Genomic DNA, 26980 nt, shown 5'->3' with positions numbered 1-26980 from the left:
TGACTGGAATTAGTGCCTCAGCCAGAAATATTTCCCATGTAGTAGGATCTATATTTCTTCCTGGTATTCATGGGAAATCATCAGAATTTTTTTTTATTTAAAATATTTTAAGTACACATTAAGAGAGGGAGGAAAGATTTGGAAAAGTAGATAGAGCCCAATATCAGATCTCCTCAAATGTCCAGATTTATCTTCTACACTTTCTGGGAAACAGGATGCACAGCTGTTTCACCATTTCTTCAAGAAGATTTTTTTTCCAACCACCAGTCTCAACCTTTCCTTCCTTTAAACTAAGCTTCTCAAATGAGTACTCCGTAGCTTTCATGTTCACTGTCTTCTTTGAGTTACCAATTACATCTTGCCAGCCAAATTCGATTCTCTTTTGCCCTCCCTCCCTCCCTTTGCCTCTCTCCCTTCCTATTTCTCTATATATCTTTGTAAGTCTACAGTTTTCTCACTCTCTTTTTCATTTCTGGACTTCTTATTCTTCTCTTTGATCTTGGCTTTTTACTTATGTAATTTTGGCTTCTTATATGATCTCACCACTTCTACCAATTTCAACTATAAAACGATGTCATAAAATATTATACTTTTGGTTCTTTTTTTTTCCTCCTTAACTACATTTTTACCTTCAATATGTTCCTTTCCTTCTTCCTTCATATTCAAGGATAAATCTAAAAGCCATTAGTCTCCTAAAATTTCTCCAAATGTTCTTCCCTCTGTCTGGAATGTCTCCTTCTCTCTCCAGGCACATGAACACTAGAATTCAAACTCATCCCTCAGGACTCAGGTCAAGGAAAATGACATTGAAAAGCTACAAACAGAAAAGGCTGATCTTTTTGCCATATGAGGAGGAATAAAGATATTCTTAGATACACAAGAAGTAAAACAGTACACTCTAAATATATTTCTGTGTAAAGACCTTGAAAAATTTATTAAATAAGCAAAACTGAATCTGAGAAATAAATACCTCAAGAAGAGAGAAGACGTGATGGAGGAGAAATAGTGGTAAGTTATGAACAAGTAAGACTGAGAGTGCATCTAAACAATTGCTCATAATGTCTGTGAAATTAACTGCTTTTTTAAAAATTTGAAGTGAGAAATATAAAATACAGTTATAATAATGATAAAAGCAACCTGAAGCTAAAATTTTCAATTATTTCAGCAAAACCTGAGCGGTGCACTGAGAAAAGGGTGAGACTAGCAATGTAGGAAGTTAAAACAGGCTAAAATCTAAAGTTCTGTTGTTCAAAAAGAGAAGGCTATTAATGCTGTAATTCTTCATTTTGATAGATAATTCAAACATGTCTGTTAAATATTTAAGAATAACTATTACCTGAATATACAGGAGATGTATACTTTCCAAACCACTTAAGGAACAAAGAAGAAACAAAGAAAATTAATTTAATTAAGGAAAGGGGGGCTGGGAGATAAAATTTAAAATGTGATATGCATAATTTAAATAAAATCAAGTGAAATAAAATAATATCCCCCCACAAAGGGATCAAACAGAAGTCATCATTAACATAAATACAATTTACTTAGTAAAAATAAAGAATTGTATTTAGGTTAAAACATAGCTCTTTGCTATTTCCAAAGGAAACATAAAACAGAATGACAGAAGAAAGTTAAAAATAAAATCTAGGAAAGAATGCATTAGTAAAATAAATTCTTAAAAATTAGAAATGATAATACTAGCTCAATAAAAGTATGTGTAAATAACACTGCTGGCAACCCATGTATGAAGAAATACAAATGGCCAACAAATTTGAAAATATCCTCAGCCTATGTTTTAAGAAATTCAAAACAAAGTGATAAAGAGATACAATTTTGCATATATCAGATTGGCAAAGATTTAAGTGTTTGAGAATATCCAATGTTTGCCAATACGGAAACAGGCCCACTTAAACATTATTTTGGCTACTACAAACTAAAACAAATTTTTAGAGTGCAATTTGGCAGTGGCTTTAAAATTTTTTGTACATACACTTTGATATAGCCATTTTATTTCCAGGAATTCAACCTATGAATAAAATTATACAATGATGCAAAGATATTCGTTGCTGCATTTTTTTAGGGTAAAAGGGTCCCTATGTTCATGAATAGTGGGCAAAATAGATACATTTTTATACATCCCTACAATAAGATCTCAGAAAATACTTTAAAAGAATGGATTATATCTACATATACTAATATAGGAAAATGTCTAAGATACATACGGAATGCAAACAGTTAAGTTCATAACAATGCATTCATACTATGATTCCATTTGCAATTTTAATGGGAACATATAGATTACATCTAATTTTATCTATAATTTTTTGCACCTTTGTGAGTTTATCAATTAGGGAAACATACAAAGTCGTATCTGTTTTTCCAATCATCAAGCCTTAAATATCTTACCAGTAGAAAACCTAGTATCTTCGTGATGCCTCCCACCTCCCTAGCATTAAATTGTAAGAGCATGGGGTCTTTCTCAAGCCTGCTTCCAAATACCAGGCAGAGAGCATTGCAACATCTGACCAGTTCCTCACCATCAGCACTTTTGTCTCTGCCACAGAGCGTTGCTCTTAAACATTGATCTCTATACAATCTGATGGTCATTTGTTCACTTCCGTATTTATGCCTGGGCTGGTACAGAGTCCCAAAGTCTGCAGTAGTGACTGCTTTGCCCTCCAACAGTACAGATCTGTTAGTGCACACTCATATGCTCAGATCTCATGCCCAAATCATAGGAGTTTGCCAGAGTGTTAGGGCCATTAGAGCTCCCAGTCTCAGCCACAGTTGGTGCATGAAAGAGTTCCCATTCTTTCTGGGGATCCAAGCTCTGCTACAGAGCTGTGGTCAGCAATTCAAAGGACCTCCCGCACCTGATACACCACTCACAAGCAATCTCCTTCCCAATGACCACCTTCTGAGGTTCTTGGTGTCTTCTGATTCCAATAGATCTGAATGAGACAATCTCAAGTCACCAGAGAAATCAGAACAATACAGAACCACAAAAATGAAGAGGTCAGAGGTCTGGCCTTTCTCCCATATTTGAACTTAACAATATTCTCACTAGCACTCTTGCATACCCCTCCACCAGGGCAATGGGTGGCTTACTTTTACATAACCACTTGAATGTTTCCTTAATAATAAAATTTCCAAAGTGTCATGTTGTCTTTAACTGTAGACATAGAAGCTAGCATACACACATGTATACACACCCACATGCACAACTTTATCATAAACATGGGTCTCTTTACTGACTATTCAGTTCTATCGAACTGATTGATTTATTACTGTGACAAAACCATATTGCTTTAATTACTGTGGTTTTATAGTATGCTGATATATGGTAGGGTATGTTAATTCATATTTCAATGTTGTTTTCAAATATTCTTGCTTGTTTTGTCCAATTCATCTTTTTCTGGAACTTTAAAGACTTCTCACCAAGTTTTATAAAACACCATTTTAGGAATTTTAACTTTGTGTTCCACTGGGTTTTAAAAATAGTTTTTTAAACAATTGGCATCTTTAAGATACCGAATCATTCTTTCCAGGAACATAGTATATCTGTCTTTAGTCATTAGTACAGTTTCATGGTTGTCTTCAAACAGATCTTGTACCCTTCCTATTAGTTATTTTATAATTTTGTTACTACTGTGAATGGGACTGTTTATTATATTTGCTTACTGCAAATATTGATTAGGAAAGCTACTGATCATTTTATGTTGATATTGTAAAAATCCACTTTACTATTCTTTTATTATTGTGGCTTTAAATTTTTCTTGAATTTTCTAGCAAGATATATTGGTTTATTAAAGGTGAAAATTGACCTCTTTGCCAATCCCTGTAGCTTTTATTCAATGATTGTCTTCTTGCTATATTGGCTGTAATATACACCACTAAATAGTATTGAGTATGGCAAGCATTCTTGTCTTATTTTTGGGTGTTTCTGTTAGAAATGTTTCAGCTATGAGTAACTGAACTAAAATTTCCCTTCCCTCTCTGGTCTCTTCTTTTATAATTAGGAGTCCGTAAGTTGCTGGTTACGATACAACTGCTTAATAAAACTGCCAAAACTGAGTCAAGCTGTTTATATTTTTCTCTGCATCACTGTTACTATGTTGTTTTTTTTTTTCCTTTAGGCTCCTTACTTTTTGGTTGCAAAATGGCTCTTTCTCATAATCAAGGCAAAAAGATGAAAGACAAGTAGGGACTGTCTGGTACCACCTTTTATCAAGAAAGTGAAAGATACATTCTCAGAATGCACAGGAGACTTCCACCAACAATTAAGCAAACAGAACTTGATTATATGATCAGCCCTAACAGCGACAGAGGCTCAGAAAATGAGTATTCAACTAGACCTTGACCCCTAGAAAGGACATTGATGTTTTGCTAGCAAAAAAAATGGGTAATGAATAATGGGTAGACAACTAATATTGTCTGCCACACTGACTTTCTAAGGGATGTTTAGTGTCTCGGTAATTGTTAGGATGTGTACTGTAATTTTGTGATACAGAGTTTTATCAGCCTGAAGGGCTGTTTTCTATTTTTAACTTGATGAGGTTTTTTAATATCAGAAATGAATGTTAAATGCTATCAAAACCCTTGTGGCGTCTATGAGAAGATAATATAATGTATTTGTTTTTTCAATTAATATGTTAATTTCAAGTAATAGATTCCAATTGTTGAATCATTCTTGCAATCCTGGGATAAACCAAGCTTGGAATGTGGTTATTCTGTTAATCCATTATTGCATTTAATTTGAAAATAGCATACTCATATTTTTTGCATTGATACTCACAGTGAAATTGATCTATTTTTTCTTTATGCTATTCTCATCCAGTTATTTTCATGAGAGTTATGTAGCCACATAGAATGATTTAGGGAACTTCCTTTTCCATTTGAATAGTGTCAATAGAATTCTCTGTCCCTAAAAGATTTGAAAGGACTCTTCTTTCCAATAATTTGGGATTGGTTGCCTTCTTAAGGTGATGAATCTATAATTATGTTTTCTGTTTTCCCTTGTTTCTTAATATCTTCAGGTTTTTCTGTCTCTTCCTGAGATAGTGGGTTTTTTGGTTTTTTTTTTTTTTTTTTTTTTTGGCTTGTGAAGTGATATGCTTTATCTTCCATTTCTTTTCCTAATATATGTATTTTGTTAAAAACTGCACCAAACAAAGATGTTTCAATGACAGACCACATATAAAACCATGGTCCCAATAACATTAAAATGTCATGTTTTTACTGTACATTTTTTATATTTAGATGTTGCTTGATACACAAATACTTACCTTCTGTTATAATTGCCTACAGTGTTCAGTACAGTAACATGCTGTACGGTATTGTGGCCTAGGTGTGCAGTAGGCTACACCATCTAGGTTTGTGTCTATGATGATGGCACAATAACATTGCCTAATGCCACATTTATCAGAATGTATCCCCTCATTAAGTGACACAGGGCTGTATTTCCTCATCAGTTTTGATGTTCTGCTCACATTTTCATTTTTCCCAAATAATCAACATTTATTTATCCATTGAATTATTTAATTTTTAAATTCACATTAATAGTAGAGGGCATTTATTTTTATTTTGTTATTTTTAAAAGTGCCTGCTTATTGTTTTGTGCTACCTAGCATCCAGCCGCCCCTTTAATTTTCAGGTTAGCATGTGTTGTGTGGGTCCCAGTGGACTGGCCTTGTCGTTTCTGCTCACCTCAGGATAGTTATGGAATGTTCATGACATAGACTTAGCCAATTCAATGTTCTTGTCCTAGATTTTGAATACTGAAGGAGGAACAAAGTGTAGGGACAGTTGAAGTGTTTACAGTGGTAAGGGCAATGATGTGGAGAGTCCAGAGGTGAGGGCTGCAGCAAGACTACAGTAGTGGCAAGTGTCTAATAATAGCAATGCACAATGTGACACACGAACTAGACCTTGATCATCTTTCCTGATGTCTGATCTGGACTCTGTTGCATCTGGCCTGGTTCTCCAGCCTATAGTTGATTCTGCAAGCTCCCTGCTATCCTTCCAATACACTTCTCTACTGCTTAAAAGAGTCATAGTAAGTTCTGTTGCTTGCAATCAAGAAGTTTTTATTCGTGATTTATAATTTCCTGTTTTATAGCTAAATGTTGTCTATAAAAATTCTTCTTTATGGAAATTTATGGAGATTATTTTTCTTTGGGGCCTAACATAGTCAAATTTTATTAACAGTACATTGTTTGCTTATTCTCAGTTTATTAAACACAAGATGTTATGTATCTCACTTGTTTCTAATACAAGTCTTTTTTTTTTTTTTTTTTTTCCTATTTGGTTTATTAGTTTCTGAGATAAGTGGGTTTAGGTCTCAGATTGTTGTTGTAAATCTGGCCAGGTCCTGACCATCTCATTGGAGTATTTTCAAATGTTAGTATCTGTAGGCGTTTCTCTTGGACCAGCTTCTCCAGGGAAGCATCTTCCAGTTCCTTGCCAAGAGATATGTAAGGCTGACTGCCAGCATGCTGGATGAAGAGTATTAAAAGAGGGCCAAGAACATCCCCACTAGAGATGTATGTTCTTTCAATCCTCCTACTTGTTATACAACGCTTAACCTCTGGCCAAAGACAGGGCATCCTCACCTCTTCATATGAATAACATCCTGTGTCTTCTGAAGTATTTAGGAAAGTGAGAATCTAGTTATTTGGGAAAGCAGGAGGGATGCTAAGGTTTAACTAATTATTACGCAGACTTCAACCCCCTGATTTTAGTGGTGTCTCTCGCTTCTTCCTGCCCAGCTTTTTCAGGGTTCTATGATTCAAATAGCCTTGCTTCTAGTTTTCATTTCCTCCACAGGCCCTCCAATGCATTTCAGCTTTCTCCAAAATGCAAAACAGGTCCCACTTATCCAACTGCTTTATTTTGTCCCAAACCCACTGACATCTCTAATTCATAGTCTCCCTCAGCTCTCTTTCTCTTTGGAGAGAGAGCGGGAGAGAGAGCGAGAGAGCCAGCGAGAGCCAGCGAGAGCCAGCGAGAGCGAGAGCCAGCGAGAGCGAACGAGCGAGAGCGAGCGCGCTGTATAGATACATGGATATATAATGATGTTTTTAAAGTAGGTTTTTATTAGGGAAGGGAGATGTTTCTTTAGTTTCTTTCTTGCTCTCTTCTTGTCTTCTTTTGTAGTAATAGTAGTTTTATTTTCTCTTTTCCAGTTTATATAGTTTTTTTTTTTTCTCTGAAGGTCAGACAGGGCTGAGAATAAACTAAGAAAGAGAGACACCTGGGGTGTAACATGTAAGGAGGCACATGCTGTCAAGTCCTGACCCTGCTCTTCATGACCCTGAGAAAGAATGCCTCCTCATACCTTACAACCTAGCTATCTCCTGCCTTTCTTACCCTCCTCCTGACTCTGCTGAGGGCATTTCCTTGTCTACAGTGCAGTTAAAGTAGAGAACCAAACAGAAAATCATAGATAGCATTACTGGTCTCAGAAGTCAGATGATGGAATTGGAGCCTGCCAGCGTAGCTAAGTGAATGGAGTTTAAGAAAGTTTAAGAAAGAAAGGAGTCACAGAGGAGGACCTACAAAATCTGCATGCAAACTTCCCACAAATTCTTTGTGGACCCTGAACAACATATGCATGGGATGAGACTCCAAGGAGCCCAAGACAAGATTGACTGCCCCTCAGGGAATTATAACAGGATCCAAAGTCTCTAAAACACATAATCTATAATATTCAGATAAAGTATCTTTAGATTTGCAAAAACATGACCTATGATAAAAAGAAAAAAGAGTTAATAGGAATAAAACTACAAATGTCCCCCAATGCTCCAGATCAAGTTAAGAAATAAGGACTTTAAAGTAACAGTGATAAATATGTTATAGAAGCTATAGAAAAAGATTGGACAAAAAAATGGGAAATTTCAGGACAATATAGAACTTCATATACTCTAAATATATTCCATGTATTGAAACTAAATAAGAACAAAATGAAAATTCTAAAATTATTATTTTATTTTACTTTAAGTTCTTGGATACATGTGCAGAACATGCAGGTTTGTTACATAGGCATACATGTGCCATGGTGGTTTGCTGCATCCATCAACCTGTCATTTACATTAGGTATTTCTCCTAATGCTATCCCTCCCCTACCCCCCCACCCGCCGATAGGCTCCGGTGTGTGATGTTCCCCTCCCTGTGTCCATTTGTTTTCATTGTTCAACTCCCACTTATGAGTGAGAACATGTGGCATTTGGTTTTCTGTTCTTGTGTTAGTTTGCTGAGAATGATGGTGTAGCAACTGAAATATTTGTTGGACGGTATTTTAAGCAGACTGGACACAAAAGGAGAAAATACCAGTGAACTTGAAGACAAGTCAATAGAAAATTTTCAAATTGAAGCACATTAAACAATAAATAATTTTAAAATGCTAAGAATTAAAGCATTCAATGACAAGCAGGTGATTGTTAAGTTGTTTAACACATGTGTAATTGTAATCCCAGAAAGAGAGGGCAAAGGTAATAGGTCATAAAAAGTACTTCAAAAAATTTTGCCTGATTTTTTTTTCCAAAAATGTTCAAAAAACAGCACACCGCTAATCCAGGAAGCCTAAGCAGTTTAAATACAAAGAAAACCACACATAGGCACATCATATTCAAACTGCGAAAAAACAAAAAGAAAAGAAAAATCTTAAAAAAAATACAAGGGAAAGGGGCGCATGACATTTGGAGAAGTAGTAACAGTAATAAAGCTAACTTCTACCCAGAAACTATGGAGGCCACAAAACAAGAGAACATTAAAGTGCTGAGAAAAAAGAACTGTCAACCTAGAATTCTATATCCAGGGGAAAAATACTTCAACAATGAAGACAACATAAAGTCATTCCTAGATAAAAGCTTAGAGACTTTGTTCTCCACAAACCACATTACAAAAAAAATGCTAAAGAAAGTTCTTCAGAGCAAGGTAAAATAAAATATAACATAGAAATATAAATCTATAGGAAGGAATAAAGAACAATGGAAATGATCAGTATGTAAGAAAAAATAAAGAACTAGTTTTCTTTTTAAAAAAATTCTTTAAAAGTCAGTTGGCTCTTGGAAGGCAAAAATAATAACATTACATAGGGTTTATAATTTATAGCAATAAAATATATGACAGCACAAGAAATAGAAGTGTAAATTGAAACATTGCTGTAAGACTCTTACTTCATAAGTGAAATGATATATTAATTCAAGGTATACAGTGATAAATTAGGGGTTTATATTATCTCTAGAATGAACACTAAAATAAAATTCATAGAGGTCCTGAGAAATCAAGAAGTCATCCTGGATCACGAGGTGTCAACCAGCAATGCCTTGAGCACCAGTGGTATCATCCCAGCCCTGGATCTTCCTACCAAAGCATTAGGTCATGGCCTAAGCCTTTTTATCCTTATTAGACTCCTGAAAAAGGTGTCTATATGTAAAGAGGAAGAAGTAGGGGCATATGAGGCATTTAAGAAACCATCTTATTTCAGTCATTCTGTGAATGATACCCAGTTCACATTCTGATGGCCCTCTGTGATCTGCATAATTGTACTGCATTGTGGTTGGCATGTAATTTCTGGAGGCAGCTGGAAGAATTAGAGAAATCTTGGACATTGCTCCAGTGGTGTATGAGAACCATTCAGTTCTAGCCAGAGTAAGTTTGCTTAGTAGGACCAGCCTGTACCACTTGAGTATGACTCAGCTACACTCAGACACATGCATGGGTGAAGTATATCTAATCACTCTGCACACATGTGCCTTAGGCACTAACACAGTAGTAGTTTGGGAAGCTTCAAATATGTCTTAGTCAACTGGTTCACAGAAAGTAACAAGGAAGTAAACTTTTTTTAGCTTAGGGACTCTTATGCAATCAAAAAGTAGTTCCAATGAAAGCTATGATCTAAGAAAAAAGAGTGCTTTGTTGTAAAATGGAGTAACACTAAAAGTAGTTACAGGGACACTAGCTAACTTTGGGAAGCATTACAGATGCCTGATTTATCAGAGTTAAGAGTGAGTTAAGAGATATAATTGAGGTGCTTTAACAGTGGTAGTATCTTCAAATTTGCTTCTATATAGGTCTGTAATTATGATTATGTGTGTGAATTATAATATGTGTCCATTAAAAACAGAGAACTATGGGTCATGAGTGGAAAACAAATGAACATTTTATCAGTTTGTGTCTGTTGGAATTAAAGCCAGAAAAAGAAAGTGAAATTCTCTTCTTTTCCTCTCTCCCTCCCACTTACAAAGCATTGTTTGGTCCTTGCTCTCAAGACAAAAGATGACACTCTTGAGTTCCCATTATGGGTTAAATATTGGGATGCTGCTCATTTGTTACTATTACTTATAGCTGTCTTCCCTAAAAAGCTAACTAGTTCCAAAATTGTATTCCCTAACTGGGGAAAGGAGGTAGGGTTCTCACTTAGGTCTTATTAGAAAAAGTACTATGTCCTCTGTTAACCAGAACCTTAACTAGAATCCTTGAGAAAGTGTTCTTAAGGACTGGTTCTTAAAGAAATCATCTTCCTCAGGAAGTTGTTTTTCATCCTTCTTTTACACGTGATATTAGAGTTTTCAGTGTATTTTAGAAAGAACACTGGAATGACAAACAGTCTGAGAATGTGGATTATATCTCTGCTCCACCTTTCTGCCTTTCCCTGTGTGAGTTTGGGCAATTCTCTGCATTTTTCTGAATACCTGTTTTCTTATCTGTAACATGAAAATTTTCCATTTAAGCAGTGATACTCAAACCCTTTCAGGTCATATACTCTTTTGAGATAGGTAAAACTTTCAACAGAATAATGCACAAAGCTGGACAAATGTTTCTCCTCTTATGTTTTCTCATTATTTCCTAGAGGCTGGCATATTCTAAGATCAAGCTAATCACGAAACAGACATTTTTATAATTTAATCATTTGGTTGATAAGGGAGCTCAGTGTCTCATTGTCTTTAGGTATTTCACCCAGAAGCCAGGATTCCTGGTGTCTTGCCTTTCATTCTCCTCTGTGTACAAAAACCGGGTTCCTTTTCCTCTCCAGAAGAGAAGTAGAGAATAATCGTGAACTAGATGAAATGCCAAAACAAACAAGGAGATGAGAACTTTGGAGAAAGAGAAGAGGTTGAAGTGACCGAGGGACTGAGAGAGAAAGGAAACAGAACATAATAAGGTTATTACTGTTGACAGAGGTGGGCCTGCATGGAGTGCCTCAATTATCAAGAGAGGCCCTTTTTTTCTAAACAGGAAATAGACTGACCAATTTCTCATCACTCCTTGAACCCCATATATGGGTTGGACAATATCAGTTGAACCTTATTCATCAAGGGTGTGTATGTGTATGTATGTGACCTGATTCTACTCTTCTTTTCCTCAGGAGATCCCTAGATTCCTATGTGGAAGACCGGGATTCTAAGAGAGCTATATGTGAAACCAACCAACAAGTTGCTTTTCTGGATTTTCCAACTTCTTCCCCCTACACATCGCACATTTACACATTTAAATCCAGGGGTTCACAGACCCCTAATGTCCACCTATGTCTCTCAGAATATAGGAATTAACCTATATTAGATAATAGGTTAATTCCTACTTTTTCTAATATCCAGAGTCTATGCCTATATTTGCATAGACTTCTTTGAAGTAGAAAAGTTAGGTTTTTATGGATGGAGAAAATAAACACAAAGAGACAAAATAACTCTGTTCAATAACCCATATGGCAAATGGAGATCACTGATCACTTAAGCTCAGAGAATTGTGCTCACCTTCATTGCTTGAACTAGCTTTGCCACTTCTGAAAAAGAAATAAAGAAAAATATGGGGATTCATACTGGACAGAATTTAAGCCAACTAGAGTTGAACCAAGGAGAGCACTGAGCTGAATATTCAATAAAAATCCCAAATGACAGTCCAGGTTTTTTCCAAGGAGATCAACAACTCCAGTCACCACAGCCCTCACTGGAATGGCCAGTCTATCTTCCTACTCTACCCTGCACATTTAGTCAGTACCTGTGTGTTCCAAGGTCAATATTCTTTTTGTGAACTAAATTTCATTCTGAAGGATTTCAAATGCAACAAAAGTTGATCCACTGCAAAGATAAAAGAGCTGCTTAACAGCTGTGATAAAGGAAATTAAAACAATTGGACATTCTTTCTACTGGGAATTAAGCTGTTTTCACTAAGACCCACATGTACCGGTGCACTAGAAGAGCTGACAACAAACAAATGGAAATAAATGTTGAAGAAGCAAAATCTACCCTTACATTTAGAACTTAGAAAAAAAAGGCAAAACACTTTGAGAAAGAAGCCAATTTCTATTTTTAAAAGTCCTACTTTCCTCTTGAAGGAAATCAATTGCTCCAAAAATTCCTGTAAAACTCCTCAGTTTTTTTTTTTTGGCATAGAAATACAAATCATTTTGTAATATCAATGATATCAACTCTTATAGGTTTATTAAATATTTTTATAAAGTACAGTCAAAAGTCAAAACAAAAGTTACAGAGTAACTTATTAGTTATTGTTCATTGGACTAGCGTGTATGTATCAGGCAGGGTCTTGAAAGAACTAATCATCACATTTTACACACCAAATGTGATAATTGAAGAGAAGTTAATAAAGGAGGTATTTACAGGATATATTCTCTAGAGAAACAGACCAATAGTATATATGTGTGTGTTTGTGTGTGTATGTTTTATATGCACTTTAATCACATAGCCTGAAGGTAATTTTATAGAATATATAATATGTATATATACATATATGAGATTTATTACAATGACTTGGCTCATGAGATTATGAAGGCTAAGAAGTCGCAAGATCTGCACCCAGTAAGCTGGAGGCCCAGGAGAGCCTATTTGCAGTTCCCGTCTGGGACCAAAAGCCTGAGAGCCAAATGTGTAAGTTTCAGTCCAAAGCCAGCAGGCTCCAGGCGGAAGAACCAATGTTTCAGAATGAGTCTGAAGTCAAGAAAGCACTAATGCCGCAGCTCAAGGAGTCAGGCAGGAGGAGTTTCCTATTATGCAGTCTTTTTGTTTTATTCAGGCCTTCAGCTGATTGGGTGAAGTTCAGCCATATTAGGGAGGCTCATCTGGTTTACTCCACCAATTCAAATGTTAATCTCACCCAGAAATACCCTCACAGACATACAGAATAACTTTTGAACAAATGTCTGGACACCCGATCTCCCAGTAAGGTGACGCACAAAACTAATCACACAAGGTATTGATTGAGTTTAAGAAAACCAAGTGCCCTGGGGTTAGAAATAATATACATATCCTGATCCATGAGCAGTGAAAAGCCATTACAACTCCTGGGCCTGAAGGAGGGAGACCTTAGCACATCCTAGAGAGTTTAAGGGATACCTAGGAACTGAAGCTTTTGACAGGGAAGGAGCAAAGGAATAAATACTTCTAGAAATCAATTTCCCCTATCATAGAACAAGATAGAAAAGAATGGATATTGAACATGGATAAGCAACATATATATTGCTGGCCTAAAGCAAGAGTCATATGTGCATTCTAGAATCCACTTGGTAGCTTGAATTATAGCAATGAAGCTGCTATAAAATGAAATACAGGTACTGAGGCCTCAACCACATTTATCAAATAAGAACGTATGAGGCTGGATGCCAGAGATGAGTATGTATTTCAAGATTCTACAGGCGATTCTTTCCTACATCTCTGATTTAAGGACACTCTCTTGAAAGATGCCTGTTTTCATCTTTATCTAGTTTTGGGGATCACATCCTATTTCTAAAGCCAGCCACATGTTGAGTATCCCTGATATGAAATGCTTGGAACTGGAAGTGTTTCGAGTTTTTTGGATTTTGGAATATTTGCATATATATGAGATATTTTGAAGACAGAACCGAATTTAAACACAAAATTAATTTATGTTTTATATGTACCTTATACACATCAATTGAAAATAATTTTATACAACAGTTTTAATACCTTTGTGCATGAAACACAGTTCGTGCACATCAGAAAGCAAAAGTGTCACTATCTCAGCCACCCGTGTGGACGATCTGTAGTTGTTTGACATCACTATTTTTCCTAACTCTGAATTTACATGCTACTGATAAGCAATAAGTTCTTACACTTATTCACATATAAGTACTTAACAGTAAAAAATATGACATACAGGCCGTGAGCGGTGGCTCATGCCTATAATCCCAGCACTTTGGGAGGCCAAAGCAGGCGGATCACAAGGTCAGGAGATGGAGACCAGCCTGGCCAACATGGTGAAACCCCGTGTCTATTAAAAATACAAAAAGTTAGCCAAGTGTGGTGGCATGTGCCTGTAGTCCCAGCTACTCAGGAGGCTGAGGCAGGAGAATCGCTTGAACCCAGGAGGCAGAGGTTGCAGTGAGCCGAGATTACGCCATTGCACTCCAGCCTGGGTGACAGAGCGAGACTCTGTCTCAAAACATAATAAAAATATAAATAAATAAATAAATAAATAAATATATATATATATATATATATATATATATATATATATATATATAAAACATACCATTAATACAGGAAATAAAAATGTGTTCAGGGTGACTAACCAGCATAGTGTCATCCCCAGAGTACCTGCATCAGCTGTTAGACAACAGCGACAACAGGCAATGGCAGACTTTCAGTCTCCACCTACAACGCTGGGTTTTAGTAAAAAGGTTACCGTACACCGAATTTTGGTTTTAGGTGAGAAGAAACATCAGAAGCAGTTTAGGAATGAGGAAGCATTCTGCTGGGTGGCGTTTTAAATTTTTCCTGCAGAGTCACTGGTCTTATTAACAATGGTTTTTGTCTTAGACATCTCTGACTTTATAAACTGACATGATTTCTTGTTCTGTTTTGAATGCTTGCTGCTCTAGCCCTTCACTAAGCCCATGACACTTTTTCACCACGTTGTCTATAGGCACATTTTCTGCAGTGTAAACGATGTCATCTTCATCATCGCTATTATCACAATCACCTTGATTCAGAACCATTTAGGCTATTTTACCACCAACCAATGAACAAACAACTGGAGCCTCATTGTCGAGGTTAAAAACTTCTTTGGTGTAATCCCAGCATTTTGGGAGGCTGAGGCAGGTGGATCACGAGGTCAGGAGTTCAAGACTAGCCTGGCGAAGGTGGTGAAACCCTGTCTCTACTAGAAATACAAAAAAGTAGCCAGGCATGGTGACGGGCACCTGTAATCCCAGCTACTCGAGAGGGTGAGGCAGAAGAATCTCAGGAACCCAGGAGGCAGAAGGTGCAGTGAGCCAAGATCATGCCACCGCACTCCGGCCTGGGTGACAGAGCGAGACTCCGTCTCAAAAAAAAAAAAAAAAAAAAAAACTTCTTTGGTATCCACTTCTTCCAGATTACTAATGCACTCTGAAGGTATATTTGCTTACATAAGAAGGTAAGACATTGTTTTTTTCTTACTTGAAATGCAGAATCCTTCAAAGCTACCACATTGTTCATCATAACCAAACATAGTCTCAGATCAGAGGTTGTCCAAGGCATATACAACTATGTCTTCAGTCGTGCTCTAAGTGTTGCAACACCATATATGGCATCTTTCATGCTAAACTGTTTGAAAACCTTTTATGCCCGTGCCTCTGTTCCCTGTTGTTAGTATGCTGTTCAAGAAAGTGTCTTCTATATTTACTGTTCATTGATCTGAGAGTACCCTGGTCACATGGCTGAATTAATGAAGTCACATTTGGGGAAAAGTACATAAGTATTTTTGATGAGAGTATCAGCTAGAGGATGAGAACAGTTGTCAAGTAATAACAGAATATAGCAGTCATTATCCAGTCCAGCTTCCCAGCAGTAAGCACAAGCTGCTAGTACATAATGTTTGTGAAAACAGTAAGAAAAGATATCCGGCCAAGTTTGGTGGCTCATACCTGTAATCCCAGCATTTTGAGGGCGAAGGTGGTAGGATCACCTGAGTACAGGAGTTCAAGACCAACCTGTGCAACATAGTGAGACCCCATTCTCTACAAAAAAAATTATCCAGGTATAGTAGCATGTACCTATAGTACCAGCCATTCAGGAGGCTGAGGCAGGAAAATTACTTGAGCCTGAGAGTTTGCGGCTCCAGTGAGCTGTGATCACACCACTGCACTTCAGCCTAGGCAACACAGTGAAACCCTGTCTCAAAGAAAAATAAAAATAAAAGATGTCCTTGGTGATCCATATCTTTTGTCAGAACAATAATGGACTGGTAGAAATTCACTCCATGGAAACAGGAAAGATGCAAGCTTTTGCCCATCACAGCAATTTACACTTAGGCATGCCTGCCTGCTGCATTAGCACATCTCAGCAGTAAAGCTGTCCTTGGCATCCTTAATTCCTGTAGGGGATGTCTCATCAGCTGTAGTCGGTGGCTTTCTGTGGCAATAACACCAAAACAGTGATGCTTCATTGCATTATAAACTTGCTCTGGCACCATATTTTCATCAGTGGCAAACTCATCCATGAGGTTTTCTACCGTTTCATAATTAGTACATGCTTTATCACCACAAGTCTTAAAAAATAGAATATCATGTCTTTTCTTTAAATTTCTGCAGTCAGTTTGCTGAATACTCACGGTTCCCTTCAATCTTGAGTTCCTTGTTATAGATCTTTGCTTGTTTCATGATCAGTATACAATTAAGTGCCATGTATTCACTGCAATGCTGATGGATCTACTCTTGACACACAATGGAGATCTTTGTTTTTGGCTTTATGCAATGTTGCTCTATTTTTCATTGATTTCTCTAAATCACTTTCAGCATAAAACTATAAAACTGTGTACTTCTGTTTCCTCAAGTCATACAGAGTGGTCATTCCAACACCATACTCTCCTATGAGGTGTTTTACACTTATACCACTGTCTGATTTCTCCTACAGCTTGACTTTCTGTACTATACATCATCATAAATGCTTCCTCTTATCATCATGACCCATATGGATATTTGTAGACATTTTCAAAAATGTTTTTACACCACAAAGAAGAGAATAAGCAAAAAAAAAAAACAAAAACCCACAATGAGTAATGTGCATAGGCCTTGGCCCCATGTGGATCATCATTGTGAACCTACCATTGGCATGTCCAGCCTGCACACATACCATTTTATTACACTTCTGGGGCATGTTTGCATGGGGGAATCTGGGCATGCACAGAAAAAATATATCATAGCTGAAGGGGACTGAGAGGGCCTTTTTTCCCTTAAGAATGCTGAATCAATTGTGTGATATGCACCTGTGTTTTGACTACGACCCATCACGTCAGGTCAGGTGTGAAACTTGCCACTTGTGACATAATGTCAGTGCTCACAAACTTTCAGATTTTAGACCATTTCGAATTTTGAATTTTCAGATTAGAGGTACTCAACCTCTAATTCTATATAAGAATTATTGTTTCCCCAATAATATTATTCTTTGGGAGATATTATTGGAATAGTATTGTTTCCCAAATTTTTAGCATCATGTGTTTACATGATGCTAAAAAAATTCTTTTTTCCACTAAGGTGACTATATTGATTATTGATGTGTTATTTTTATTTACATATGGTCCAAGTCATCTTTGTGTGAAATTTACATGATCATAGAAACAGCATATCTACATACTTTGTCCATTATAATTATGCTCCCAGAACAAGAACTTCCCTAAATTTGGAAATCAGAGTCAGCAATCAATCGTTGCATTCAGGAAAAATTTCTCAGCTCATCATTTTACCTAAGAATCTGTTAGTCTGAAGTGATACCTTCTGCTAGTTCTTTCCTGGATCCTGTTTTTGTTTTTTTTTTGTTTTGTTTTTGTTTTTTTTGTCATTGAATCTTCAAAAAGACTGCAGTTTCATTAGACCTTCTGAGAAAGAGGTCTTGAAAACATGCTCTGCATACATGTGACTGTGGGAATCATAATGAGAGGATAAATAGAGTATCTTTAAAATACAAATCCATAGGTGAGTGCTTTTATGTGTTATCCCAGTAAGTCTGTGCAACTTTTCTAAATCATAGTCATCATTAGGCTATTTTCAAGATGACAAACTCACTAATCAGAGATTAAGTAATTTTCCTCAGGTCTCAAATGTATTAAGTAGCCAGAACTATGGTATTCACAGCCTGTAGTCTTTTGGCTATTCTATAGCCCTGCTCATTAAGTCAGAAGGCTGGGGAGAACGCTACATTGGCCACGAAGATGGCCTTTAGGATTTGGGAAGCATTTTCTAATACCTCCGCAACAACTAGATGTCTTTTGTACTACCCGTAACGTGGGACATACAGGAAGTTTCTCTGTTTGGCGAACAGCTGATTTCAAAATGGATTTCATTAATTACTCACACCAAGGAGCACAGGGTTGTGGCACAGCAAACTCTACCTCCTGAGAAAATGCCTCAGTCCAACCCTCGAGCTGAAAATGTCAAAGAGATCTCAACTGCCAGCACTAATAGCAGATCCAGGCTACACAGTAGGGTAAACAGGTGACAGGCACAAAAATGAAGGAGGAAATTAGCAGAAGCCCATCATTTCAGAGAAAGTATGTAAACATGTACATAATACCAGTAATCCTTTTAAATGCATGATCACTTAATTTTATCATGATTGAGAAGTAATCACTTTGAAGACATTGATGCTTGCCTTCCTGAAATCCTGCAGTGCATGCAGTTATAATACAAATATAGGTTTACAATATTTACTGTCTTGAGAAATAGTAAATGGTACAGGAAAAATGAAGAATCTAAAAACAGACAAACTTGATCTGTCTTGGTGCTTCCATGTACTTGCTGTAAGACCTTGAATGAGCTACTCCACCTTTCTGGGCTTTATTTGCTTCACCTGAATCAAGGTTATAGTTATAAAAGTAATACTTATTTTTTCCTATGTGTCAGAAGCTCCTTTAGATGTTTTACATGGATGAATTCATGTAATGATCACAATAACCTTATAAACCAGACCCAATTATTATTTTTATGAGTACCAGAGTCCAGATCCAAATATAAGCTTTTGTTGCCTTCAAAGACCAGCTCTTACACTGACTATCTAAATGCCTATAACCTTTGGGGTTTGTAATCATTAAGATAATATATTTAAATGCCTATTAATAATCAATAAAGGTGAGTTTCTTTTGATAAAAGAAAATCATGGATGCCTTCCCCGGCCCCTTACTCCCACTTTATTCCATACTCAAAGAGTAATCTTGCTGTTGATTAATTAATTTTAAGGGTACTGATTGATCTTCAGTTTCTAAGGGCAGGACCATAATGGAGTATATATAAATAACTCTATTTTAGGGGAAAATTACACTTTATCTTGCTGATTGAAATACTCTTCAGTAGCACTGTTTACATTGGAGAAATTGAATGAAGAGAATATTTTCATTTCTATATATCATTTTGGTATACTGTGCCTCGTGATGCAGTGAAGAATTAAAATGAAAACCAAAATAATCTACAAACATTCAGTTCATAATGGTATTTCTTTAGTAAGCTCTGGTAAGACTTGCCCTGGTTCTTTACACTAATACACGGAGAGATATGGATAGATGAAACTCATAAGAACAACAATAAAACAGAAGGCTGATCATTCTCATTGGAGGATAATAATAAATCACTGGTGTGGCATCAAATTTGCAATACTCTCAGAAAAAGCTGAAAGATCAAAAGGTTAAAAAACATGAGAAAATGGTAGAAATATAGGAATGCTCAGTGATCCAAAATACCAATGCCCCTAAAGAATATACAGTCGATTCTTATTATTTGTGGTACTTATATTCTTTAAAGTGGCTATGAACCACTGAATAATAAACCAGTACTCCTCAGTAAAACACATGGTTAGGTTTCTGCCCTGTGAACCTCTGGTCACAACGTCTTCACCAACCCATCAGTACATAATTTTGTTTTATGTGTGTCTTTGTTTAAAGACATTTTATTCACTATATAATTTTTATTAACATTGAGCTCACAGCCAACAGCATTACAACTCATGTCTGGAAAAAGAAAAAATTTTCTCTAAGATGCACAATTCCTCCATTAATCATCTTGCAGTCTTCCTGCACTTGGGAACACCAGACATACTTGAGTATAATGTTTGGAAACCATTTTAAATGGAGAAATTACCAAGGAAAAGCACAAAAATTAAAAAAAAAATGTGGCACTAAATATACTGAAAAAAAACTGGAAGTTTTCCCTGGTAAGCACATGTGCACGTCTGCAAATGACCATGAAAGCATTGCAAGTATTATTTGGGGATTACGAGTAAATTTTATCAAGTAAGAAAATTCACAAATACATAGTGTATGAGTAATGAAGATTGGCTGTATAAGAATGTATTACATTCTAAGTAACAGAGCTATAATACAGCGACATTTATTCAAGTAAAGCACTTCGGTATGAAATTCAGAAAGCTTGTCACATCCCAGTGAAATCAAAGACAACATGGACTGTTTCACACTTTCTGGCAAAATATCTGAGCTACAGTCTTATAAGAAGTACAAAAACAAACAAAACACTAAGAAAAAATATTCCCAAAAGAATAATGGGTAAAGGACATAAAGTGTTCAAATGGAGAAAAAATAAGTAGAAGTAGGAATAAAGTGATTCAAACTCAATAATAATCAGAAAATACAAATGTGTTGCTCACAAAATTATCAACACAAATATTAATACCAAATGTCAGCAAGGCTGTGGAGAAGTAAGTATCACATAAATTTTTTGGCTGGGACATCAATAAGAACAATTTTGATGGGAAACTTAAGAATGTGAAAAAACAAAAAAGCCTTTTGAGCTAACCATATTTCTTGTAGAAATAGAGCCATTAATGAACATAAATGTACTATTATATTCATCAAATTTTTTTTATAATAAGAAATTTGAAATTCCATGAATGCCCAACATTGAATTAGAATACATTGGAAGGTGGAATATTACTTAACTATTTAAAATTATTGTAGAGGATTCATATATATCTTTAATCCAAATGCACTGCAATTATACATAGCAAAACCATGAATATACTTATGTGCAATGCAAGAATATTTATACACATATAAACACATACCAGTATTACCAAAGATAATTATGCATATAAATATTGCTGCACATCATGGATATACATGTACATATTAATATCCACAGACACGTATCAAAATGTTAACAGAAATTATTTCTAAAATTTGGGTAACAAGTGGTTTTTACTTTCTTCTTAATGTTTTACTGAATTTTCTAAATGTTTTAATGTATATATATTTAATGTATCTAAATGTTTTAATGTATCGCTTTCCATAATTCAAGAGGAGATGTAATTTTAAAAAGGTGAGTAATAAATAAAAATTATTTGGATTTAAGAAGAAAATTTAACGGGTATGACACTGCCCAAACTTTAGCCTGCTGCTTAAGATCATCAACTTTGTTTTTATTTCTTCCTCCACCTTCCTTGGTTGCTCTTAAAAACAGTGCCAAGCCCAACTCTTCCAATAGGAAGTTCAAATATTGAACCATTCTCAAGCCATTCAGCTTTGCCAATGTTCTGCCGAAAATGGTACCTACCAGAGGTACTGTGTTCATACCTGCTCAAGGTATTTTAAGACATCAAATAAATTGTGTCTTGTGAAATTATAATTGGCATGAAATAAGCCACACCTGCACCATCTACAAATATGGTCAAATCCAAATTCAGTAGCTTATGCTCAAGTCTGTGAGGGGCATGGCATAGGATGGTGCATCCCTGAGAGTCAACAGGGAACAGCTGCATTAGGAAAAGGGGGAGGGTGTGCAGTCATCCTTGGTCGGAGGATTATATCTATGCCCATCAGATTTAAACACACACACACACACACACACAGTCTTATGAGACTGACCAAGAAAATGGAACAGTAATGTAAAAAGGCTTTCAGTAATTGACAATTATACCTTCAAAGAGAGTTGTGTAAAAAATGAAAAAAAAAAATTGAACTTGAATTCCCAAACTGCACCCATCGGCAATAAGGACTTATAAGTGTGTACGTGTGTGTGACTAAATCTTAATTTTCCTATAGAAGAGCAATACACACTATGGGAGTGTGACTGGACACTTGTCCCTGGGAAGTCACAGAGGTTAAAAAAAAAAAAAAAAAAAAAAAAGCAGCTCTGTTTCTGCTGGAAGAGCAAAGAAGGAAGAGGCTAATAGCCAGGGAAATAGGCCAGACTGTGGATTTTAAACCCAAAAAAAGCACAAACACAAGTCACCCTGAAAATAGCGCTGGCTGGACAAATGGTGGACTGGAAGAGCCTTTTGAGAGAGAAATTGCTGAGAACATTTTAATTCTCTTCACCAGTTTGCCTTCTTCCATGATTGTAAAAACCACAACAAAAGGAGAAAGGCCACTGTGGGACAAACTGCTGCAAAGGTCGTTACCCACTGGATGGCAGTTGTGCTACTGAACATACAGTGGCCTTCCTCTATCATCCTTCCCGGGCCAAATGAGGTACCCCTGCCATCTAACTCTAGAGTTCAAGTTGTCATAACCCAAAGACCCCTTGGTTGTTCTGTTGTGAAAATGAGCAGATGCTCCTGCCTACTGTCCTGTGCGTGACATAGCTATGTTCACTAACCCAGGGGCATAAAAACCTAAACCACTCCTCAGTCCTGGTTCAGGAGGTCCTGGGGTCTGGCCTAAGGAGCCACTTGTTCCTGATGACTGGTCCACTTTGAACAGTTCTCTGTGCCCATTTGATTCAGCATGATGCTGTGACTTTTCATCAGTCTATTCCCCTATAGGTTCGTTACTTATTCTGTAGAAATATAAATTTAAAAAAATGCCCGTAAGAAGGACAAAGTGAGCCTGAGTCCATAGAAGAAAGTCTTCCGACCACTGTATACCAATAATCTCTGATACAAGGAGGAAGGAAATGCACATTTTATATCAGCTTTATATTAGGATATAGAGTACTTATCAAGAAGACATGAAACTTTTAATCCAAAGTGGATGAAAACTCTTCTCTAAAACAATAGAGAAAGAGAAATTAATGAAATGCAAAACTCCTTAATCATTCTAAGCTCGAACCTATTATTTTCATTTGGACATTCTTAAATCAACTTCCTCACTTCCTCACGAAATCAAGTTTTCGCACTGGAGAGGGTAGCGTACTGCTATTTGGAGGTAGGGGGTGGAATTCATTTGTAAGTAATCATATAGCATTACAAAGATAAATAATGCATTTATCAGCAAGAGATAAGCATACCACAGGGAAAAAAAGTAGAGCTAGCCATTTTCTTGGGATTATTCAGAGTGTAGGTTATACCATGTCACCCAGAGTAGATACTACCATTCGAATGCGTGTCACATCCATTATGGAATGATGCAGGAAGGCTTAGTTTCCTCTTCAATTTACTGTTCTAGTGGTTATGTTAGAAAGTTGCAATTTGGCCTTCTATGAGTTTTTATTATATTAACAAAAGTAATGTTATTAATTACTACAAATTTATTAATAATTTTATAAAGTTACTTTAATAAAAATAAATACATGAATTTATTATAAATTTACTGGTTATTATAAAATTAAATATAATTTATTATATTTTTATTGAATTTATTAAAGAGGCATTATGTTCTCACCAGGGATTTGGGTTAGACAGTTTTTCACATCCCAAGCCACCTTTGCATTTTTCATAGACATGACATCCACGTGGAAGAGACTTGGCATTCTCAACAATGCTTTCAATTGCTAATTCAATTGTTTTTCAATGGCATGCCTGCTACACTGCCCAAAGTTTGAAAAAAAAATCATATATTAAGCAGTTTTCAGAATATTGATTTTTCCAACTAACTTCTTTGGGGAAAATAGATGTCTTCAAATTATTGCCTTACCCTTTCCCATACATGCCCTTGTCCAGGCATTATCACCTTCATGATTAATTCACAGCAACAGATCTTTCTGTGACTCTCTCCCAGCTAGCAGTGTCATGACTGCTTTGCAGAGGGGCACAGTGAATTAAGCAGGTGTGCACTTGTGGCTGTGTGACAGGCAATAGTAAGTCTATGAGTTCACATGCTGATTCATGAATAATCATGTTTCACTAGCTAACATACACAAAAAATTACAATTTTATATATGTATGATGAAATAGGGATTGGGGAGGGCACATTGTAAAATGAGGAAAGATTCTATCCCTACCCTTTCTTATACTCTTATGCTCACTTGATAATTTCTCTTAAAACAATTTAATTCATGTGGATTTCTAAACAACAGCCCATGGCATTTGTAATAACAAATCCAAATCCTTAGCCAGGCTTAGTGGCTCACACCTGAAATCCCAGCATTTTGGGAGGTCTAGGCAGGCGGATCACTTGAGGCCAGGAGTTTGAGACCAGCCTGAGCAACATGTCAAAACCCTGTCTCTACAAAAATACAAAAATTAGCCAGGCGTGGCGGCACATGCCTATAATCCCAGCTACTCTGGAGGCTGAGGCAGGAGAATCTCTTGAGCCTAGGAGGCAGAGGTTGCAGTGAGTCAGGATCACTCCCCTGCACTCCAGGCTGGGCAACAGAGCAAGACTCCATCTTTAAAAAGAAAAAAAAAAGATAAAAGAAAGAAAAAAATTCTTTTTATTTATTTTATTTTATTTTATTATTATTATACTTTAAGTTTTACGGTACATGGGCTTTGTAGGGACATGGATGAAGCTGGAAACCATCATTCTTAGCAAACTATCGCAAGGACAAAAAACCAAACACTGCATGTTCTCACTCATAGGTGGGAAAAAAATTCTTTTAACCTGCTAAGTTGTACTACTTTTTAATTTACTTAGCAAATATTTTAATTTGCTTAGCTATAGTATAGCAGGAAAAAAATAATTTTAAGCTACCACTCACAATCTGATCTTTCCAACTAAATTATTTCAGTTTTTGCTTATTTTCTTCTAGTCTTGTACCAATTTATGCTATATATTAATATATACATACACATGTACAGTTTTAACAGCCAGTGAAATATGTACACTGTTAAATACCTATATAATTTATATGCAAATACATGTTTATTATGGACATACACATATGTACTTTATACTGCTTGTTAGAAACAAAGATTACTGTGTTCATTTAGTATTGAAACATAGCTATCAATCAATGATTTCCCTCATTGCCATAATCGCAATTGTCACTCATCTTGGCTTAATCACCCAAATTTTCTTAACTTCAATTTCCTTTTTGAGGGAAAAAATTATACAAATACTATTGCCCGACTTACTTCACTGGAATATCAGAAGTCCTTTAAAGAGTCAGTGGGAAAATGCACTGCAAAGACATAAAGCTTTGAAATGCAAGGTGCTGTGGTCATTGTCACAACTGCCTTTTACCACTCCTGTCCAGGTGAGAAGCTTCCTCTGTAGGTGAGACACTGCTGCTGCCCTTACGTTCTGTCAAGCCATCTCTTTTACCTGGAGATGCAACTGGCAATTCAAACTCTACCAGGAAGCTTTTAAAAGTGCATTCCACTCTACACTGTCTATAGCTTTAGAGTCTATTCTCTCAGTGCCTTTGTGTTTGGAGGAAGAGCCTGAAGAAAAAGGCTAAGTTCTCATTTTTCATAGTGAAAAGCTAAAATACAATGCCTGAAACAAAAAAAAATAAAAATAAAAAATCAGGAATTAACATCATAAAATGTGTTATTTAGGACATACATGGAAATACCAAGAGAAAAAGCTAAAAGAATGGAAAGCAGCTGCCTATAAGGAGTGGGTGCTGGAAATAGTGGCAGAAGAAACGTGGTTTTCATAATAACCTTTGTAGAACTATTCAACCCCTTAACCTATGTGTATACATATCTTTTAGAACAATGCAAACTTTTTATAAAGTTTACATTGGAAAAAGGTTTACAAAATGCCTTGCATGATGCCTGTTACACGGTACGTGCTTAATATTTTATCATATGTCTTATGGGAGAGACAGAGCTGCTTGTTTTTTCCCCCCTCAAAAGAAGCCTGTGCTCTGATTCTCAATTACTCTCATTGCCTAATGATCGATTTGAGCTTCCTGATCATGGCCTGTGTCCTCCTAACCTAATCTCCTCAGTTAATTTTTACATACTAATCAGAAGGAGGCAACCGCTCCAACTTCTCTTAGTGACAATGCCCTGGAGTCCCATTATACTATTGCTTTCACAACTCTCCATGGTTCAGTGAGTTGCTGAATTTGTATCTCCAAGCTTGAATTCTGCTGAAAGCTCCAGACTTACGTAGCATTGCACTCTGTGACTCTGCTGGGAAACTTAAACTCGATATGAAGTCTACATGAAATAAAAACTTAAATAGACTTTTAAGACCTGTAGCTCAGCTTTAAGGTCTTCCATCAAAACTTCCTTCCTCTGTGGAACTGAGTTGGTAAATGGCTTCATGATCCACCCAGCTAGTGTTCAATCTGTAAATCTGAGACTCGACTATGAGTCTCAACTTTCTGCCTCACTTCTAACATCCAATTCAGAATCAAGTCATGCAGATCCTGACTGTAAAATATATCTCAAAATTGCACACTGTTCTTCACCACCTCTATGACCACATTAGTCCACCTCAATACCATCACTTGCTAGAATGATTACAAGAGCTTGCTAATTACTGTCCTTGCTTGCAAACTTTGCTCTTCAGTGGTTTCCCACACAGCAGGCAAAGTGATCTTTGTAAATACAATCTGGCCAGGCTATTCTCTTGATTTAAACCCTTTAATGGATTCCCACTGTGCTTAGGTCCAGGAGAGCTTTATTATCTGGGAACTATTTCTCTTTCTCTTGAACCATTCTCCCTCAAGCTATCTCCTGCATACTGGCCTCATTTCAGCTTTTCAAGGACACCCAGCCGTTTCCATTTCAGGGACTTTTCACAGAGACTACCACTGCCTGAACACTTGTCTATGATCTAGGCAGTTGAACACCTCCCACTTACACTACGTTCCAGTTCAAATGTCCTTTCTTAAATAGCCTTCTTTTTGGATGCATTAATATTAACATTTATCACAATTTTTATCTTTATATTTATGTATGTGAACATC

The 26980-nt window shown here is 36.4% G+C and overlaps 1 long non-coding RNA gene across 1 annotated transcript in view, besides 1 other annotated feature; it reads right to left on the bottom strand.

Moving 5' to 3' along the window:
* The window catches only part of LOC107986931 (uncharacterized), a 290196-nt gene that overhangs the window by 74222 nt on the left and 188994 nt on the right, over window positions 1-26980 (bottom strand). The gene's annotated exons all lie outside the window — the stretch shown is intronic.
* Window positions 26309-26946: an enhancer, noted in NCBI's record as "OCT4-NANOG hESC enhancer chr8:23963874-23964511 (GRCh37/hg19 assembly coordinates)". NCBI's record gives its function as "activates a minimal SCP1, AML or CMV promoter by ChIP-STARR-seq in naive H9 embryonic stem cells {active_cell/tissue: H9 hESC(naive)}" and the evidence as "EXISTENCE:reporter gene assay evidence [ECO:0000049][PMID:30033119]".

The sequence above is a fragment of the Homo sapiens genome, chromosome 8, assembly GCF_000001405.40.
Source record: "Homo sapiens chromosome 8, GRCh38.p14 Primary Assembly".
In the NCBI taxonomy this organism is placed as follows: domain Eukaryota; kingdom Metazoa; phylum Chordata; class Mammalia; order Primates; family Hominidae; genus Homo; species Homo sapiens.
The sequence above is the reverse complement of the archived record's forward strand: the minus strand, read 5'-3'. Positions and strand labels throughout refer to the sequence as shown.